The sequence below is a fragment of the Homo sapiens genome, chromosome 12 (assembly GCF_000001405.40).
Source record: "Homo sapiens chromosome 12, GRCh38.p14 Primary Assembly".
NCBI classification, from domain to species: domain Eukaryota; kingdom Metazoa; phylum Chordata; class Mammalia; order Primates; family Hominidae; genus Homo; species Homo sapiens.
Genome location: NC_000012.12, coordinates 110,628,283 through 110,649,675, shown reverse-complemented (window position 1 = coordinate 110,649,675; position 21,393 = coordinate 110,628,283). Strand labels below are relative to the sequence as shown.

Here is a 21,393-nt window from a genome sequence, read left to right as displayed (position 1 = left end):
CGTTTGTCTTCTCACTGCTGTCACTGCTGCTCAGTGAAGCCTATCTGATTGTAGCAGTCTCCTCAGCAGACTGAATGCCACAAACAGCGTAGCTTTCATTCATCTCTGTGGTCCTGTGCCTGGGGCTCACTGAATGATTGATTGTCACATCCCTGGCGAGGCTCAAAGTAAATTCCAGTGTTTGTCTGCTTTTGCAATAGGAACAAGAAATTGAAAGACTTAACAAACTATTGCGACAGCATGGACTTCTTGGTGAAGTGAACTAGACCCGGACCAGCTCCCCTCAAAAAGAAGACACTGTCTCATGGGCCTGTGCTGTCACGAGAGGAACAGCTGCCCCTCCTGGGCCGCTTGGTGAGAGGTTTGGTTTGATACCTCTGCCTCCCTCCTGCCAGCATGGATTCTGGGTGGACACAGCCTTGTGGAAGGTCCAGTACCACCAAGAGCTGCCCATCCACTCCCACCCCACACTGTATCAAATGTATCACATTTTCTCATGTTGAACACTTTAGCCTTAATTGAAAATGAGCAACAAAGCTGGACAATTGCTAGTTGTATATAAAATTTAATCTCACCGAATGTACAGTTTTCAAATTTCACGTGTATATTAAGGAACTGATGCATCTGAGCATTCTGAAAGAAAGAAAAAGAAGCTACTTTAGCTGCCACCCCATTCTAGAAAAGTCTCTTATTTTCAAGCTGTTCTAAATAGCTTCGTCTCAGTTTCCCCAAAAGGGGTACCCAGGCCCCTCCTCTGTGTGCCCCAGCTGCATCAGCCAGCTTCTAGGTGGCTCCATTGTTTTCTGCCACCTGACAACATTTTTCCTCAATTACTGTACAACTACTGTATAAAATAAAACAACTACTGTATAAAATAAACTCTCTCTTTTCCCTGGACCCTCCTACTGTATTCTTTCCTCTGTGGCACCCATACCAGCCTGCCAGTCGGAGAGCAAGCTAGCTACAGTGCCTGGTGCAGAAATGGCAATTAGACCCAAGACTCCACTATAATTAACAAGGTATTTGGGGGAAGATCCCCTTGTAAGGGCTGTGTGCTCTTCTCGCATGATTTTATCTAATATTTTGCTATTTTTTTGTACTCATTTCAACCGGACCCAAAAAGGAAAAAACCTGAACTGAGTATTTTTAAAATAAATAACTCAAAGCAGGGGATGAATGAACTGGCCAAATCCCCCTTGCCTCTGCTGCTTCAAGTCCTGTTCATGTTCTTTACCATCTCCCCAAAGACTTTTTGGGTTCTATCATCTATGACCTATGTGTTAAGCATATTCCCCATTCAAAAGTCAGATAGAATAACATTTCCAAAAGGAAAAAAGGCAGGAAGGGAGTGGAGAAGGGCAGTGTGCTGGTTTGGAGGCAACCTCAAAGGTTAGAAGTATAATAAGGCTAGGCATGGTGGCTCACACCTGTAATCCCAGCACTTTCAGAGGCCGAGGCAGGAGGAGCACCTGAGCCCAGGAGTTTGAGACCAGCCTGGTCAACACAGCAAGACCCCATCTCTACAAACTATATTAAAATTAGCCAGGTGTTGTGGTGTGCACCTGTAGTCCCAGCTATTAGGAGGCTGAGGTGGGTGGATTGCTTGAGCCCAGGAGGTCAAGGCTGCAGTGAGCCATGATCACACCACTGCACTCCAGCCTGGGCAACAAAGCGAGACCCTCAAAAAGTATAAAATGCAGTATCCCCTAGGGACTTCTAGCCCCACGTGCACACTTTCCAAAGGGGATGACCTCAGAGGAGGGGCGTAGTTTCCTCACTTACGTCAAACAAACGGGAAGAAGAAGTTAAAGGGCAGCCTGGCATTGATGGCTGGTGGAGCTCTGAAGCCTGCCTCTGCAGGTGCAGACACATCCACAAAAGTAACCGCAGTGGAAATAAGAATCGTCCTTTCATTTCCTGAGTTGGCCTGTAATAAACAGAGAGATGCAAGGCCCACCCTCCAGTGTGCTCCCAGAATGACAACAATGAGACACTTTTCATTCTCTTCCTCACCCAACTACTGTCAGTTCATGAATCTGATAGGTCCTGGAGCACTAATTGGCCATTAACTTGGATGAGAGAAACAATTTTACCAGGGTGTCTGATTAACACGTGAATATCATAATTTTCATGAGAATTTTAAAGATCCAATCTGAACCAGAATGCTAATGTAAGTAGAACCATCGTCAGTGTTTCTAAGAATGACTGCTGAAATATTTTATGAACCCCCATGGTTTAAATTATAATCTTTTTCACAAAGTAATACCTGTCACCTACCACACTTGAGTTGTGTCTAGACTTCTGTCTTAACCTATGCCTTTAAACTAGGTTAGGCCTACCTCAGGAAAGGAGGATGAAATTAGATTTGCAGTTACATTGACTATTTTGGCCTGTGGATTCAGCAGGGATCCGTATTTAGTCCACTTCACTTCTATAACCAAAGCCCCTGGGAGCTGGCAGGAATCCTGCAAAACAAAATGCTGTTAATCCATTAGAATCTTACAAAACTGCAAGTCAGACTTAATCTGCAGTTCAGAGTTTTAATTATAAAAGGTTTCACATATTACAAAATGTTCTGAACAAGAAAATGAATAGACTCTACAAGTTCAGATAAAAACAGCTTAGAGAATATACGTGTTTTAAAGTAACTCAATGCCCCAAAAATATTTTTAACAGCTGAAGCGTAATTTTTCCATCTCCTCCTATTTCTAAAAATGCCGACATCACCTGAAACTGCGGTAGTGCCAATACCCAACTGTGGACCATTTAGGGCCATAACTGCTCTAACTTCATCTACCTGTTTATAGCGGCCTCACAGACTTCAGGAAAGAAACTGGTGGGAGGGATGGAGGGGGAGAAATAATTATTAGCAGACAAAACCTGATTGCATGTCATGTTAAAATGCTCTAAGGGGAAATTTAAGTGCTTTCTTTTCATTTACCTAATTTCATCAATTGGCAATTAAGATGTGACATCTAGGTAATCCAGGCAGTGTCCGTATGTTGTCAAAGACATCAACTCTTCAACTGCATCAGGAACACTGCTGGTGCCACGAAGGAGCTGAGCTGCCCCTTTGGTTGGCTGCTTTGGCAGCCAGCTCTAAGGCCTCTGACCCAAGGGAAAAAGGGGCCGTGGGCTTTCCAGGGCTTTTTCCTGCCTTGGCAGTCTCTCCGGTTGGCAAATGTGGTAACTGTTGAAGCTGCAGGCTGGGTACGTGGGGACTCCATGGTACTATTCTACTTTTGTGTGTGTCTGACATTTTTTCATTAAAAAAAAAAAGCTTTAAAATACATCTCTTCAGGATATGAAAACCTCACAGGCCTGCTAAATTTGGTGGCTGCGAAAAAAGCACTGATGGAATTCCTTAGCTTGGAACCGCCTTTAAAAACCATGCAGACTGAACAATCCTCTCGAATACCCTGTTCTTAGGAGACAATGCAGCATGCAGCTGGTGGAAACTGAGTTTAGCAGGTGCTCGTGCCTGCCTCTACCTGGGTTGCCGGCAGAGTTGGTACAAAACCTGCTGCTGCAGGCCCTCTGAGCACCCAGGATCAGCACAGACCCTGACGGTGCCATGTGCGCACTGCTGCCTCTCCTCCCAACCCATGTCTTCCCTTCTGAGGAGGAGTAATAACTGCACATCTTCACCCATGGCCAAGAAGCCAGAAGCGATGTGCCTGGTTCTGGTGGGAGAGTTGAGTCAAGACTTCGCAGTGGAACGGCAGGGACTGAGTAATCCCGGGTCTCTGCTGGCCTCGGTGGGAGGGCGGATCAGAGAAGTGAGCAGTCCTCACCCCCGTTATGCCCATGCTAGAAATATTCGGAGCGGATAATGAGAGGTCTGAAGAAAGCGTGACAAGAACAAGCTGGGCAATTACAGGCTAAGATGGAGAGCACGCCCCTGGGCCAGGGCCGGCCCACACGCTGACTGCTAAGACAAAAGAAAAAGGTGGGCAGAAGCATCATGTGTGACCGGGAACCTATCTGTAGGATTGTCAACTTCCATTCAACTCTGTGAGGAACTGTGGCAGTGAAAACTCTCAGGTGTGGGCTGCCTGTGTAGAACAGGGGACAATGGGTGGGAGAGCCACATGCACGGAAGTCAGTCTCAGTCTTTGATACAGGACTCAACATTCGTCTATCGTGTCATGAGATGCCTGGAGAGGGCTCGGGGGACACCAGCAATCACAATGATGGTAGCAACAGGATGAGGATCACAGAGGTTCCCATTTATGGACCACTAGGCACCATGCCCAGGGCCACATAAATGTTACCTCACTTAACCCTCTCAATGCCCCATGAGGCCATTCACTCACTATTGACTAGCGTTCCCATTTCACAGATGAAAACAGAGGCTCAAAGCCATAAAACTGCTGGCCAGAGGCAACATTGCTAACAAGGGGCAAAAATCAGTATCCAAGATTCAGCCCGCGCTCCCACTCAGGGCCATCCTGCCTCCTTAACAGCTGGCTTCCCCGGCTGCCTTCATCACACCACCTGGAAGACAGAGACCACTAGCATGGAACCTGTACCTTCTCCCCTTTACCTTCCTGTTGAATGACTGGGTGATGAAGTGGATGGGCACCCAGTCCAGCATGTCCTGGGCCTGGGAATTTCCAAAAGGGGCCACGTAATCTGGGAAGCCCTGGCCCCACAGCAGGCTCTTCACCTTCTGTGCTACGAGCTGACACGGGAGAGCTCCAGTCAGTCTTGGTGAAGGAAAAAGAAGTCAACTGAATGAGGCTGTTGTTCATCCACCAGCAGTTTTTCATTTTCTTCTTCCTTTCCTTCCCTTTGTTTATTTATTTTTGAGATAAGGTCTCACTCTGATGCCCAAGCTGGAGTGCAGTGGCACCATCATAGCTCCCTGCAGCCTCAAACTCCTGGGCTCATGCAATCCTCCCAGAGTGCTGGGACTACAGGAGTGAGCCACCACACCCAGCCCACCAGCAGTTTTTTGTTTTTTAAGTTTTGATTTTTGGTTTTTTTGTTTTGTTTTGAGATGGAGTTTGCTCTGTTGCCCAGGCTGGAGTACAGTGAGGCAATCTTGGCTCACTGCAACCACCGCCTCCCAGGTTCAAGTGATTCTCCTGCCTCAGCCTCCTGAGTAGCTGGGACTACAGGTGCCCACCACCATGCCTGGCTAATTTTTTTGTATTTTTAGTAGAGACGGGGTTTCACCATGTTGGCCAGGCTGGTCTCGAACTCCCAACCTCAGGTGATCTGCCCACATCAGCCTCCCGAAGTGCTGGGATTACAGGCGTGAGCCACTGCTCTCAGCCCCACGAGCAGTTCCATTCCTTCCCAGTTTCATTATCTTCTCATTCTCCAAATGAGGGATTATCTGACAGAAGCTAAAGAGTCTCTAACTTTGCAAAATCTTTACCTGTGAGATGATGAGTCTAAAACAGTGTTTCCCAAACTGTGTTCCACTGAAGATCTGTACAAGAAGGGTTTCATGGCCAAAGTTGGGGAAGCATTGAACCTCCACATCCCCATGTCCCTCCTGAGGCACATTTGCCTATTAAAGGCTCTGATGAGTAATACAGGAAGGAACCATTGTTTTAACTTTAATTTGGTGTTTCCCAAACGTATTGGACCACAGACCTACCCCTACTGATGTCTTGTGGAAATGTATTCCATGGAACCCTCTCCCTTTGAGAAATGCTGGTCTAAATGGATCAGAACTAATAATGTAAATGGTGGCTGGATGTGCTGGCTCACACCTGTAATCCCAACATGTTGGGAGGCTGAAGCAAGAGGAGCACTTGAGCCCAGGAGTTCGAGACCAGCCTGGGAAACAAAGGGAGACCCTGTCTCTACCAAAATTTTAAAAATTAGCCAGGTGTGATGGTACCCGCATGTGGTCCCAGCTATTAGGAGGCTGAAGCAGGAGGATTGCTTGAGCCTGTAGGCCAAGGCTGCAGTGAGCCTGATCACGCCACTGCACTCCAGCCTGGGCAACAGGGGGAGACCCTGTCTCAAAAAATAATATAAGTAAATGGTAAATATTGGTCTAACCAAAATAATGATCCAATGACCCTGGGAAGATGTGGGAAGTGTGTGGGTCATGAGGTAGGGGATGAAGGGGAAAGAGCCAAACCTTTGTCTTCCTTAATGGAAACAATAAAAAATTCATAAAACCAAAAAAATCAAGAAGTAGCATTATATGCAGGTTATTTCAAGATTTGGGGGTAGAATTTGAAAAAAACAGCTACAAGAGTTGAAAGTGGTTGCCTCCAAGGTGGGGCAAATGAGGGTAAGAACTATTTTTATAACAAGCTGCGCAGCGCTGTTTGATATTTTACATTATGTACATATTTGATAAGATAAAAACAGATCATATTCAGGCTTCCTCTCACTGGTTTTGATGTGCTGTGTATATTAAAATTGAGAAACACAGGAAATATTGTCAGGGGAAATATTTTTGCTGTGAACTCAAATGCTAAACAACCTTAAAAATGAAACATACAGGCCAGGCACAGTGGCTCACACCTGTAATCCCAGCACTTTAGGAGGCTGAGATGGGAGGACTGCTTGAGCCCAGGAGTTCAACATCAGCCTGGGCAACATAGTGAGATCCTGTCTCTACAAAAAAAAAAAAAAATTCAAAAATATTAGGCCAGGCATGGTGGCTCACACCTGTAATCCCAGCACCTTGGGAGGCCAAGGCAGGCAGATCACCTGAGGTCAGGAGTTTGAGACCAGCCTGGCCAACATGGTGAAACCCCGTCTCTACTAAAAATACAAAATTTAGCTGGGCATGTTGCCACATGCCTGTAGTCCCAGCTACTCAGGAGGCTGAGGCAGGAGAATTGCTTGAACCCAGAGGCAGAGGTTGCAGTGAGTTGAGATTATACCACTGCACTCCAGACTGGGTGACAGAGGGAGACTTTGTCTCAAAAAAAAAAAAAGCCGGATGTGGTGGTGCATGCCTGTAGTCCCAACTACTTGGGAGACTGAGGCGGGATCCCTTGAGCCCAGGAGGTCAGGGCTGCAGTGAGCTATAATGGCACCACTGTACTCCAGCCTAGGAGACAGAGCGAGACCCCATCTCTTAAAAAAAGAAAAAGAAACATACAAAGCCTTGAAATTTTTGCTTTGCCGTATTTAATAACAAAAATGATTGTAACAGTTTTGCTACTATTCATGCATGATGATATACTATATGTGGCTTTCATGTGAGCTCATCAGCTGATGCAGAGATTTGATTAAAATGGGGAAAAGTGAGAATGCTTTGTTTTCTGATCAGCACAAGTTCAAACAGAAACAAGTGACTCTTTTACCTTAGTTTACAGCCAGATTGCATAGTGTAACCAAATAATACTGGGGTCCGGACCCCCTCCAGTGCTAAGCAGTCTTGCTCAGTTGTGCTATGAAGAATAGTAAGCTGTCCATATCTATTTGTGGTCTGAATAATCCCAGACATTCACAGACAGTTAAGGGACAACTGCCTAGTGCTAGAGCAGCCTGGTTCTCAGGTAAGAAGACAGTGTCACTTGTGTGACATGAGGGAGACCCAAATACACTTTTTCTGGGCCTCTGGGATTTTGACAGCTATTTCCCAGGAGCAGGCAAAAAAACAGTTCTATTTTCCTTAATAAATGGATTCTCAGAAGAAAAATTCTCAGAAACTGGCCCTTTGAAATTCTAAATTTTCAAAATCACTACATCTGTTTAGGAGTGTCTGTTTAAATGTGAAATTAAAAACATTTAAATGTCAACTTTTCTCTCTTAAGATTTTCGTTGTAAAACACTGACATATTTTGTGGCTTAATGGCAGGCTGAAAAAAAAAAGGAGATTAAAAAAAAAAAACACTGACATTTTCCCAGGACGTGCTGTCTCACCCCCAACTGCCAGTCTCCCCCCAGCCCACCTGCTGTGTAGCCAGACTGGCCGCCCACCAGAGCCGCCTGCAGGAAGCTCGGCCTGGACTGCTCTCTCCTTCCCACAAGCAGCCCAGGGGAGCCTCAGCGATAAAGAGCAGTGCAGCCCACGCACATGGAGAGAGAAATAAATCCACCCTCTACAGAACCAAAAAGGATATCCCTTATGAGGCTGGAATCCAGCAGCTAATGGGAGCCCCACGACATAACCAGGGTTTCCACTGAGAGGGACTGGCTGGGTATTTTCCTGAAAGACAATGCAGAAATGCCCCCAAATAATTCTCATTTTAATAAGGAAATGGCAGGAAGAAAAATTCTTCTTTCATAATAAAATATGGAATTACCAACCAATAAAAGAATTTCTCCCTCCCTACTCAGAACTATAAATACATCTGCCAGGTGTAGGAGTACATCATACTGTAAAAGAACAAGCTAATGTGGAAGGGAATCTTTTCCCAAAAGGAAAAAAGATACAAGGAGAATGCTTGGTTTCATTACAAATGCACAGGCTACACAAAGCCCTCTGTTCACTACAAAGGCTTGGATGTAATACTTAGAAATTCAGTTTTATCCACTGAGAAGTCATTATTTCTTTTTAACTTGGCAATTAAATACTTATGCCAAATTGATCAACCTTACCTGAAGAAAATGAATTTCAAACTTTTGCTGCAGTGGGACCACTACGCTGCTAACTGTCCCCAGAACGAATGAGAGATCAGCTTTGGTGACTTCACCTGCATCTGTGTATGTGAGGCTGTACTTTACCTAAAAACAAAATGATACTCCAAATATACCTGTTCCATTACATTTCAGAAGCTGTATGAATAACTGAAAACACCCATAGATAGCAAATCTTTCCCTGTTTCTCCATGTGTTGAAGCCTTGCTCTGCTGTCCAGTTGGATTATGAGAGGTGTTCCCTCAGCACCACCCCTAGCAGACAGGGTCATCTGAGCCACTCTGCCCAATTACAGAAGTTCCACATAAGCTGGTCCAAGCAGAATGCAATAAGCCTATCTCTGCAGAGGAAACATGTTAAAACAAAAACAGCAACAACAAAAATATTTTGATGTATTCCGGCAAGTCACTAAGTTTGTGGAGACAAGAGGTGTCCTTTGATGAGACAGCAGAAAGACAAGCAGGCAGCTGAGCCAAGAAAAGCCACACCATGGGCTGGGACAGAGCGTCCTCGGAGGGCGTCCAGTTACCCCGGCGCAACAAGAGGCTTAAGTCTGCCACAGACAAGCTCTCAAAGCCAAACTCGGCACCTACCTCAAGAACAACATTCACGCAAAGGCTAAAGTGTCCAGCGTTGACGAGAGTCGGCTGCAGCACATCAGTGTCCTCCCGTCGGGTGAGCGTTTTATTTAGAGACTGAATGACGATGGACTGAACAGTGATAGGGACCTGCAGAGTGAAGACCTGGAGTGTTGAAGATGCTCTACCCAGGGAGGATGGGCTAAAATAACCAACCAACTGGAAAGAAACCTCCCCTGATATATGGCCAAGTAGGGGGAAGCATGCTACACAACAGTGTATATACTATGATCCACATTTGCAAAAGTAATAAACATATATACATTCACAAAGAAAATACTTGAGAGGATATAACCAAAACTTTAAAAGTAGTTACCTCTGAAAACATAAAGTTTACACAAAAACTTGTACACAAATGTTCACAGCTGCACTATCAAAATAGCTAAAACCAAAAACCACCTAAATGTCCATCAACTGATGAATGGATAAATACAAAGTCTAGCCTTACAAAGGCATATGACTCATCCCTAAAAATAGTACTAATACATGCCACAGTACAGATGAATCTTAAAAACATGCTAAGTCATGGAAGCCAGACACAAAAGGCCACAGTTCTAATTCCATTTATACGGAATGTCCAAATAGGCAAACCCATAGAGACGAAAAGTAGATCGGTGGTTGCCAGGGGATGGGGGACAAAGCTGGGGAAGAATGAGGAGTGACTGCTAACACAAGGCTCCTTTTTGGGGTGATGGAAATGTTCCGGAATTAGTGGTGATGGTTGCACAACCTGTGACTATACTAAAAACCACAGAATTGTATACTTTAAAATGGTGAGTTTTATGGTATATGAATTATATCTCAAATACACACAAAACTCCATCACACTGTCAAGCACACATATATATCCTCACCTCCAAAACACAACTCCTACACACTCCATACCCACACATGCACATTCACATGCAGTCCCAGGATATATATCCTTAAGCCCCCACACACCCCCGAATATTCATTTGACCCAATTTATACACAACTTCTATACAAGCGCAAGCACGCTCACACACACATACACACACACACACACACACACAGTGGTTTCTCTGGGTGGTAGGATTATGAGCAACAAAAAACAGACACAGACAAACATTTTCAGCAGCACCAGGGAAGCCCTGCTTATCCCAGTGCTATTAAAGGACGTTTTGCATTCATGGCCACCACCAGCAGAGTAACAAGGCATCAAGCCATCCTCTAAAGGTAGCTGAGCCTCCTCGTACTATAGGATGAATCTGTCATTTGCTCTAAACTTCAATTCTTAGAAACCACTGTTGAGGAAGGAGCCTCATGTATCTATTAACAGTTGTTTATACCACTTTGAACTTGCACTCAATCATGCACCATGCTGTTTATAATTCAAAATGACCAAGTATTTAAGCAGTTATTTTAGAGATAAATAAGCAGTCCTTATGTGTCTGCTCCCATGACCAAGAAGACCTGCGAGTCAAAACCTCTCATAGAAGAAAGTGACATGACTCAGTAACAAAGACGTGAGCTGTCATGTGACGAGAATGGCAGAAGGGCAATGCTAGTCACTGTGAGGCCCTCTGCATAACATGCCGCACCAAGGGGTTTCAGCATGGAGGGGGTCCTAGGCTGTTATTCAATTAGCTCTTGTTTAACACAAGGGCAACCCCGGGTTCCTTACTCTGAGCATAGTGGCCCCTGATTCAGCAATGACACCGGGTTCCAAGAAAGAGCATAGCCTGCCATACCAGCCTCTGCTGGAGCCACTTCCATGGTGTGTGCGTGGAATTGGCAAAAACCGAAGGATTCAGTGTCAATGAGCTTTGGAGAGTCCTGGTGTCAATGGCAGGAGCTGCCCTCGTCTCGACAGCTCACTCAACTGTCCCGAGAAGGAAACAGTAGCGCTGTGCTGATTTCCTTGATTCCTCTTCTACCACATACCATTCCCAAACCACACACACACTGGTAAAGAACTCCAGCATACTCAATGAAACTACAGGGCTACCCTGGAATCTTTCACTGATGGCTCCACAGATACTGACAATGATTCCAGGCAATCATAACAGTCTTCACTTAGTGGGGAGATTAGACCCAATTTCTATACTCCTGATCCTCTAACCTTAAAATCTGCTTTTTAAGAAAATTTTAAACAAATTCCTACTATTAGTTTACATGCTTGTCCTTTAGAGCACAACCTTTGGTGTCACACAGACCTAAGTTGGAAGTCCCAGTCTGCCACGTCCTGTGTGGCCACAGGATGCAAAGAAGGAAGGTGTGTGAAGCCTGTCACATGGGCTCACAGAGTAGAGCTGGCCCAGTATGGTGGTAAAGTATAAGGTCCCTGGGGCCAGACCACCTAGATCCCTGTCCCAGCTCTGCCACTTCCCAGCTGTGCAGCCATGGGCAGCTCATTCATCTCCTGTGACTCATCTGCCAGAGAGTGACAGTAACTGAACCTACCTCCTAGGACAGCCAAGAGGATTCAAAGACGTCAGACACATACAGCACTTAGAACAGTCCTGGCACCTGCTCCAAGCCTTCCAGTAACATCCATCACATTCCTCATAATAGGTCTTCCCACCCTGAATGGACCCACCTCCTTCCTAGTCATTCATCACTAAATGCGTAACTCATTGAGTGCCCAGTACCTACTGGACGCTGCGTTAGAAATAAGGATATATCATGAACAAGGCTGATAGGGCTGCTGCCCCCACAGACGGTTCCAGTTTTGAGTGGTAAAATCCAAGCACTCTCTAGGGGTTGGAGGGAGGTGAGAGCTAGCCCATTGCATGACTTTCACACTGCATTCCTGGGAGCCCTAGGGTTCTTCACTGGGACCAAAGAGGAGAGAGAAGGAGACTGGGCAGGTGGAGGGCTTCAGGCCCCATCCCTGCTCCAACCAGCACAGCTCCACATTCAGTCTGTGTGTTACACTCTAGAGAGGGTTCCACTTCAGACTGCATTTAAGAAAGGGTCTCTATAACTAAAACAAGTTTGAAAACACAAGTAACATCCATCATTCCTCATAATAGGTCTTCCCACCCTTCACAGAAGACAGGATCCAGCCTCACACACCGTTGTGTGAGACCCAAAGTCACATGGCTATTTCCTTTCAAACATCTCCCTCAAACATGTTTGTGTGCAGAGCATCAGTGAAGTCAATCACAGCCAGTGCATCCCCATCCCGAGTGCATCCCATGCGCAGATGCCGCACCAGCACCTCATGTGCTTCTCCCACTTGGCCTTGTGTCATGCCTCTGCACGGACGCTTACCATCCACTCAACAAAGGGAGACCACGGTGTCAGTCCGACAAGAAAATAATGGCAAAGCTGAGGTTTGAACCTAGGCTGGCCAGTTCCACAGGGTGGGAAACTATGACAAAGCCACCAACTCAGGCCTCCATGGGGACTGTGTTCACAGGCAGACCTAGGGTGCAAACCCTAGAATAAGGGGTGAGGGATCCACATTCCTTCTGACATAGCCACGAAGAGACCCTGACATCCTGACCACAATCAAGTAGAACCCTGGGCTGGGGCGATAAGGCTTTGAAAAGAACCCACCCTCAAATAAAGCCCTGAAGGTATACCACGGGGCACGCCTCCCACGCGGTATGGACACCCACTGGCCAAAGTGCTTATGGCTTCTGCCCTGGACGGGCAGCATCCTGGGAGCTGGACAGCTTTCTTAACAAGAGACTAAGAAGGGAGCAAGGGATAGCCTGAATGTCCAGAAGTCAATCATACCCACTGCTGGTCACGACAGTGGTGTCACTGAACCATGGAAGAGTACAAAACCACAACAACAGAGGCAGCTGGGAAGCCCAGAAGTGTGACTCCCACTAAGGAGTTTCCCTATTGCACTTCTGCTTGCTTTTTGGCAAATGTATTTGCTATTAGCAACAAGGTCCCCTTCTAATTGTAACTGTATTCATTTAAAAGGGCTCAGAAATAAGACAGTATTATAAACTATCCTACTTTCTATTACAAAAATAAATAAATACTCTTACCTTTTTTCTTGAATCAGGTACCTAGATAAAAAGAAACCACAAAAAATTGTGTTAAGTACAACAAAAAGAAGTATTTTCATTGCTTTTTCAGATCTCGAGTTGAAGAGTATATTCATCTTATTAAAGGCTTCACAAAGAAGAAAACAGAATTTCCTTGATCAAGACTCCCCATCTGCATGTGTTTGAATCTATGTCCTAATCAAAGAGGTCACATTGCGTTTTCCTTCTATCTTCATTTCCTCCAGGTAGAAGCTCACCAAGCTAGTCTCAGGAAGGCTCCATGCTCCAGGGTCATTATTGTATATTTCCACATGGTCTCACGGCCATAAGCACTGTGGGAAGCACAGTTCTTGCACTCCTGGTCACTCTCACTGCACCTGTCCTTGCTGGAAGGCCACCATTGCTTGCCCAGGCGATTTCCACAGACTCCTAACTGGTCTTCCTGCCTCTGGCCCAAGCCTCCTCAATGACAAGCTCTTGCCTCCCCAGTAGAGCTGCAGCTTTCTTTCTGAAGGGCCCACTGAGAAACGTGGGGAGGGAGACAAATAGACCTGTTTGGAGAGACCTGTGCTGAAAGAGAACTGTACCTGGATGCCCAAGGAATTGCTTCAAGACAACTGTGAGCTCAAGCTAACTAGAAGAATTCACAAGCCTAGATGGCTGACTTACACAAGAGAGGGAGAGAGAAAATGAGGGGAGAGGGAAAGGTTAAATTTGATCCTAAAAACTGAGGTCCAGATAAATAATGGTGCCATGAACCACCCTACCCCTGTACCCCTCATAAAAAGGAAATTGGGAAGGGGACCCCTTTGACAATAATCGTATGTTTCTGGCGGGGCAGTTGTTTTGTTTTGTTAGAGACCAGGTCTCACTCTGTCACCCAGGCTGGAGTGCGATCATAGCTCACTGCAACCTTAGCTCACTGCAACCTCAGCTCACTGCAACCTCAGCCTCTTAGGATCAAGTGATCCTCCTGTCTTAGCCTCCTGAGTAGCTGGGACCACAGGTGTGCACAACCATGACACAAAAGGTTTTTTTTTATTATTTTTTGTAGGGACAGGGTCTCATTATGTTGCCCAGGCTGGTTCTTGAACTCTTAGCCTCAAGTGATCCTCCTGCCTCAGCCTATCATATGGTTTTTAATCATTGAAAAAGGTCTTCTTCCCTTGCCACCCTCCATCTCATCTGTCATGTGGGCCAGTGGCCTCATCATTTCTTCAGTTTAGGGTTCAGTCACTGTAACCAGAGAGAAGGGGCCCCTTCACCATTGTGCCCACTTCTCCCATTTCCTGTTCTTTCCTGACTGCCTGTGTCATCTGCCAACCAGAAAGTGGATTTCCTCTTCTTTTCTGGCCTGTTTCTGAGAGGGAGCCCTTTTTGGGGCTAATAAGATTATTTCTGTCACAGACATGAAGATGTTTTTATGATTTCTAAAGTTTTTAGTTATTCGTAAAGATTTGTTTTTATTCAGGAGACAGATATTGGTTACCATCAAAATGAATGAAAGAAAAAAATCAACAAAAGCAAAATATGAGCTAACTATAAAAAAATAAAAATTATTTAAAGGATTATTTCAATAATCACTGATATAAAAGTACTGGAGAAATTTAAACTCGAGTGTCAATCATGTACTGAAATTATTCTGTACTTGTCATATTTTAAAAGCGCAGAAAGAACAGAAACATACCTAATGAGTAAGTTCCACTTCAAAATAATTCTTACCCTCAGAATTTCCGGGCTGCTGTAAAAAGCCATGCTGAGGGCTTCAATTTCTTCACACTGTTCTAAATTTATTTTTCTGGTGCACTTAACAGCCTGGTTCACCAGAAACGCTAGAAATCATTAACATTCCCAAGGAAAAAAAAATACAAAAGAGAAGAAATTTTTCAATTTTCCAATGGCAACTAAAAAGTTTTAATCTAGGTAAAACTGTAAAATAAGTTACAACACAGATATACAATTTTGTTGTTGTTTGTTTTGTTTTTTTAGTAGAGACAAGGTTTCACCGTGTTGCCCAGACTGGTCTCAAACTCCTCACCTCAAGTGATCCTCTCGCCTCGGCCTCCCAGAGTGCTGGGATTACAGGTGTGAACCAGTACGCCTGGCCTACAATGTTTTAAATTATTTTTCAAAAAGAATACATTCATGAGATTCAAAATTCAAAAAGCACAAAAAGATAATGAGTAAATCCCCCTCCAATTCTTGTCCTGCCCCCCAGCTACCACCAGTCCCCTTCTCCAGAGGCAACTGGCATGAGGCTTCTTGTGTCTCTTTCTAGAAATATTCTATGGAAATAAAAACAAATATGTGTGTAAAAAACATACATATATTTTTATTATTATTTCTTTCCCCTTTTGGAAACAAATGTACAATATATACACTATTCTGCCCCTCATTTTGTTTACTGAACAATATATCTTGGAGATTGGCCTGTCTTTACATGAAGCAGCTCCTCCTTTCTTGGGGATAATTAGTATTATAGATGTGGCATAATTATTATACCAGTTCCCTATTAATGAACACTTAAGTTGTCTCCATCTTTGCTACCACCAACAATGCTGCAATCTATTATTTTGCATATTGGCCAGCATTTCTGTAGGATCAACTCCTGGAAGTAGAACAGCTGGGTTGAAGAGCACATTCATTTCTAATCTGGATACAAATTGCTAAATTGCCCTTCACCAAGGTTGTACCAATTTACAGTCTCACCAGCTATGTAGGTGGACTGCCTGTTTCCCCACAGCTTCAGTTTTTTTGAGTTTTGCCAATCTGACAGGGGAAAATGGTATCTCAGTTTGGTTTTTAGGTTTTGTTGTGGGGGAGGGGGAGTTGTTTTTGGTTTTGTTTTCTTTTTTTTTTTTCTTTGAGACAGGGTCTTGTTCTGTCACCCAGGATGGAGTGCAGTGGTGCAATTTCAGCTCACTGCAACCTCCACCTCCCTGGCTCAAGCAATCCTCCTACCTCAGCCTCCTGAGTAGCTGGAACTACAGATGTGCACCACTATGTCTGGCTAATTTTTGTATTTTTTATAAAGACAGGGTTTCACTATGTTGCCCAGGCTCAAACTCCTAATCTCAAGCAATCTGCCCACCTCAGCCTCCCAAAGTGCTGGGATTACAGGCATAGCCGCCACACCCAGCCTTTGGTTTGGTTTTAATTTACACTGTTCTTCGTGTGTGCAAGATTGTCTTTTCAGCAGAATACATTTGTCTTTTCAGCAGAATACAGAATACATTCCTATCGTCCATTACTTAGCTTCTTCATAGTGAGGCCCCTTGGGGATGGGAGAGCCAAGCCTGCTGCCTTCCACTGCCTAGGGGGCCATTCTGCAAACTCTTGGAGGCTCCTGAATGGAGAGGAGCATAGGGGAGCACAGGCTGCAGGCCAACTGCATGGGGTCCATTCCTGTTCCACCACCACCTGAGTGAGCCTGAACAAGAAACTGTACATCTCTGTTTCCTGCTCTAAAAAATGGAGATACTAACCTGGCCTCAAGGGATTACAGAGAGTATTTAAGGGAAAACACATACAAGCACTTAACACAATACCCAGCACACAATATGTGCTTAATAATGGTTAGCTGTTGATATGCTTTAGAACTTTCCAACAACTGGAAGTGTTAAACAATTGAGTGAGCTGTTTTCAGGTAGTCAGTTCCCCATCACTACAAGTGCTCAAGCAGTGACTGCATGTGGTAGAAAAGACTGGCCCTGGGTGAGAAATTGAACTACGTGACCTTTGAGGCCTCTTTTAACCCGAAGATTCTGTTTTTAGTTACGAGGCCTGTTTAATGATGACTACTACAAATGTAAAGTATTAAGTTGGTGCAAAAATAATTGCGATTTTGGTCATTACTTTTAATGGCAAAAACCGCAACTACTTTTCCACCAACCTAATAATAACAGCAAATGTCTAAGGAAAGAAGAATGACCACTTTCTTACCTGCAGGGTTATTATCAGTGCACAGAGATGATGTCAGGGACGAAGGAAATCTCAGAAACGAATCTGAAGTCTGCAGAGGAACCCCATACTGCAAACACAACAACCAACAGTCGTTATGGTGTAATTAAAGTATTCATTCAACACTTACTGGGCACCCACAATGTGCCAAGCAGCACTGCAGGCATCAGAGACACACTGATGAGCAAAAAACAGATGTGGTCCTTGCCCTCAAGAAGCTCACATCTAGTTGTGTCGCCATTTTTAAAAGGATGTGTTTCTGTATGTGCATGTTACTGTATTTGCAGGCTTCTTAGTCATGGAATTCCTCTGGAAGGGTACATGAGACAATGACATAACGATCTGCCTCTGCAGACAGGAACTAGGTGGCTGGACACAGGGTTGAGAGAATTATTTTTCGCTAGCATTAATTATTTAAATAACATATACAGTATACATTAAAATCATAAAAATCAATTTTTTATAAATCAGTTTTATGAAAGAATGCCTTCTTTCCCAAAACCAAACCCCACAAAATTATTTTCCAATCTTCAAAACCCAGATTAATAGCTATTAGGCTTATAGCCAATTTTCTCGAACTTGAAAGTTTATCCAAATGCTTTAGTGCCAGCAGGAGTATGGGAAACAACTCCTTCCACTCACTGGAGCTGGGAGTGTAAAGCACTGCAATTTTTCTGGAGGGCAATCTGGTATCAATATTTAAATTTTCCATTCATTTTTACCAAACTAACTCATTTATAGGAATGTATCCTAAGGATTTAATCAGTGAAGTGTACAAAAATGTATGTATATATGAGAATGTTCATTGTGGATAACAGCAAAAACTGGAAACATGTCTGTTAAGAGTGGAACAGCTCAGATACATACACAGAAAATAATATTTTGGCTTTGTTTGTTTGTTTGTTTTTGAGATGGAGTCTTGCTCTATTGCCCAGGCTGGAGTGCAGTGGCATGATCTCAGCTCACTGCAACCTCCGCTTCCTGGGTTCAAGCGATCCTCATGCCTCAGCCTTCCAAGTAGCTGGAACTACAGGCACGCACCACCACGCCCAGCTAATTTTTGTATTTTTAGTAGACATGGGGTTTCACTATATTGTCCAGGCTGGTGTGGAACTCCTGACCTCAAGTGATTTGCCCGCCTCGGCCTCCCAAAGTGCTGGGATTATAGGCGTGAGCCACCATGCCCAGCCAAGAATATTTTGTAAACTACAGCTCTAGGGCTGGGTGCAGTGGCTCACATCGTAATCCCAGCACTTTGGGAGGCCGAGGCGAGCGGATTACCTGAGGTCAGGAGTTCAAGACCAGCCTGGCCAACATGGTGAAACCCCGTCTCTACAAAAATACAAAAATTAGCTGAAGACCAGCCTGGCCAACATGGTGAAACCCCATCTCTACAAAAATACAAAAATTAGCTGATCATGATGGCAGGTGCCTGCAATCCCAGCTACTTGGGAGGCTGAGGTGGGAGAATTGCTTGAACCTGAGAGGCGGAGGTTGCAGTGAGCCAAGATCACACCACTGCACTCCAGCCTGGGCGACACAGCAAGACTCCATCTCAAAAACAACAACAACAACAACAACAACGCAGCTCTATCACTAGTTCTGACAAGTTGCTTTCCTGTGCCTAAGTTTTTCTCATCAGGTAAATGGAGACAATGGTGCATCCCTCCCAGGGGGGTGCATGAAGTAATGCCTGAAAAGCTCTTCACAGTGCCTGGCACATGGAAAATGCTCAATGGTAAATTTTATATTGACATGGGAAGATGCACATGATTTATCACTGAAAAAGGAATTTTCTAGAACAATGTGGATACCTATAAATCCCACTTCTATACAACACCATATATACATTATAATAGACATATTTAAAAATCAGGAAGAATACACACCAATCTCTTCAAAGTGATTTGCAGTATGAATATTAATGGATACAGGGATCTTTCAACTTATATGCCTCTATATGTTGAACTTTTAGAACTAGTACATGTTGCTTTTATACTTTGCTTTTAAAAAGATGCTTCCAAAAGAGTTAAGGTTCATTCAGTTAATATGTGTCCCATTTAAAGGTGTACTACTGAATAGACATAAAACAGCACACATCTTCCAAAATCTGTAAAACTAAATACAATTTTGAGAAGATGACCAGACAACCAACCAATCTACTCCATGATCTCAGCAACATGCCTCAAGCATTTTGCTGCATCTTTTAAGGTTGAGGAGAACAAAGAACTCTGAAGAGACAAAATACAAGTTTATCACAGAATAAACAACCTTAAATCCTCTATTCAGAATTCAAATATTCAGTTTTATTTTTATTATTATATTTTAAGTTCTGGGATAACGGGTGCAGAACATGCAGGTTTGTTACGTAGGTATACACGTGCCATGGTGGTTTACTGCACTCATCAACCCATCATCTACATTAGGTGTTTCTCCTAATGCTATCCCCTCCCCTAGCCCACCACCCTCTGACAGGCCCCTGTGTGTGATGTTCCCCTCCCTGTGTCCATGTGTTCTCATTGTTCAACTCCCACTTATGAGTGAGAACATGCGATGTTTGGTTTTCTGTTCCATGTTAGTTTGCTGAGAATGATGGTTTCCTACAAAGGACATGAACTCATCCTTTTTTATGGCTGCTTAGCATTCCATGTTGTGTATGTGCCACATTTTCTTCACCCAGTCTATCACTGATGGACATTTGGGTTGGTTCCAAGTCTTTGCTATTGTGAATAGTGCTGCAATAAACATACGTGTGCGTGTGTCTTTATAGAATGATTTATAATCCTTTGGGTATATACTCAGTAATGGAATTGCTGGGTCAAATGGTATTTTAGGTTCTAGATCCTTGAGGAATCGCCGCACTGTCTTCCACAATGGTTGAAATAATTTACACTCCCACCCAACAGTGTAAAAGCGTTCCTATTTCTCCATATCCTCTCCAGCACCTGTTGTTTCCTGACTTCTTAATAATCGTCATTCTAACTGGCGTGAGATGGTATCTGATTGCAGTTTTGATTTGCATTTCTCTAATGACCAGTGATGATGAGCCTTTTTTCATAGGTTCGTTGGCCACTTAAATGTCTTCTTTTGAAAAGTGTCTATTCATATCCTTCACCCACTTTTTGATGGGGTTGTTTTTTTCTTGTAAATTTATTTAAGTTCCTTGTAGATTCTGGATATTAGCCCTTTGTCATATGGATAGATTGCAAAAATTTTTTCCCATTCTGTAGGTCACACGTTCACTCTGATGATAGTTTCTTTTGCTGTGCAGAAGCTCTTTAGTTTAATTAGATCCCATTTGTCAATTTTGGCTTTTGTTGCCATTGCTTTTGGTTGTTTTACTCATGATGTCTTTGCCCATGTCTATGTCCTGAATGGTATTGCCTGGGTTTTCTTCTAGGGTTTGTATGGTTTTAGGTCTTACATTTAAGTCTTTAATCCATCTTCAAATATTCAGTTTTAATTTTCATGATCTTTGATTTGTAGGCATGAACATTAAGTTTTTTAGTCTATAATATCAACTCTGTCTCAAGGAACCCAGTTTTCCTGGTAACCTTGAAAATTAACTTACAAGGAAAGATATTTGTGATGGGATGAAAAGAATCAATCAAGTTCAGGCTCACCTCATATTTAGCAGCAGTAGGAATATCCAGTTTGGTTGTGAAGGAAACATATGATTCAGCATTCAATGTAAAACCATCAGATGTTTTCATCAATGTATCAAAATTGTTTTCATCAGGTACTTCTGGATTAATAAAGGATAATGCAGGTTTATCTGTTTTTTAAAAAAAACAGTATTTTAAATCGGTATAAAATATATGTATAATATGTATGACCTATATAAAGGTTTTGGAAAGTTTTTAATAGCATCAAGGCTGATGTAAAAAACAAATAGTGTCTTGGCTGGGCGCATGGGCTCACGCCTGTAATCTCAACACTTTGGGAGGCCAAGGCGGGCGGACTGCCTGAGGTCAGGAGTTTGAGACCAGCCTGGCCAACACGGTGAAATCCTGTCTCTACTAAAAATACAAAAATTAGCCAGTCATGGTGGTGTGCACCTGTAATCCCAGCTACTCGGGAGGCTGAGGCAGGAGAATCGCTGAAACCCAGCAGGCAGAGGTTGCAGTGAGCTGAGATAGCGCCACTGCACTCCAGCCTGGGTGACACAGTGAGACTTCATCTCAAAAAAAAAAAAAAAAAGTGTATTTTTCCATATTCACTTCTCCCAGGATTTTTTAAAGCTTATTAAACAAACAGGA

General features: G+C 43.8%; 2 protein-coding genes across 49 annotated transcripts in view, besides 1 other annotated feature; one reads left to right on the top strand and one right to left on the bottom strand.

Annotated features, from left to right (window-relative positions):
• HVCN1 (hydrogen voltage gated channel 1) overlaps window positions 1–990 on the top strand; it is a 56,267-nt gene extending 55,277 nt beyond the window's left edge. For all 18 annotated transcript variants that reach the window (XM_011538846.3, XM_017020026.3, XM_011538847.2 and 15 more), the window contains one exon: window positions 201–990. In XM_011538846.3, coding sequence (XP_011537148.1) covers window positions 201–266 — 66 coding nt within the window. In that variant the 3' untranslated portion in view covers window positions 267–990. The remainder of the gene's footprint in view (window positions 1–200) is intronic.
• The window catches only part of TCTN1 (tectonic family member 1), a 35,302-nt gene continuing 14,154 nt past the window's right edge, over window positions 246–21,393 (bottom strand). For 5 of the 31 annotated variants that reach the window (XM_006719594.4, XM_011538734.4, XM_006719595.4 and 2 more), the window contains 12 exons: window positions 20,758–20,909; window positions 17,117–17,204; window positions 14,897–15,006; window positions 13,175–13,195; window positions 9,159–9,293; window positions 8,527–8,652; window positions 8,049–8,134; window positions 7,287–7,427; window positions 4,547–4,709; window positions 2,340–2,480; window positions 1,783–1,927; window positions 246–633 (listed from right to left, as the gene is read on the bottom strand). In XM_006719594.4, coding sequence (XP_006719657.1) covers window positions 1,784–1,927; window positions 2,340–2,480; window positions 4,547–4,709; window positions 7,287–7,427; window positions 8,049–8,134; window positions 8,527–8,652; window positions 9,159–9,293; window positions 13,175–13,195; window positions 14,897–15,006; window positions 17,117–17,204; window positions 20,758–20,909 — 1,307 coding nt within the window. In that variant the 3' untranslated portion in view covers window positions 246–633; window position 1,783. Of the gene's footprint in view, window positions 634–1,782; window positions 1,928–2,339; window positions 2,481–4,532; window positions 4,710–7,286; window positions 7,428–8,048; window positions 8,135–8,526; window positions 8,653–9,158; window positions 9,294–13,174; window positions 13,196–14,896; window positions 15,007–15,212; window positions 15,281–17,116; window positions 17,205–19,418; window positions 20,910–21,393 lie in introns of those variants that run through there. The other 26 variants (NM_001173975.3, NM_001319681.2, NM_001082537.3 and 23 more) reach the window with 19 other exon arrangements.
• Window positions 1,613–1,672: an enhancer, noted in NCBI's record as "active region_7014". NCBI's record gives its function as "activates an Ori minimal core promoter by ATAC-STARR-seq in GM12878 lymphoblastoid cells {active_cell/tissue: GM12878}" and the evidence as "EXISTENCE:reporter gene assay evidence [ECO:0000049][PMID:35858748]".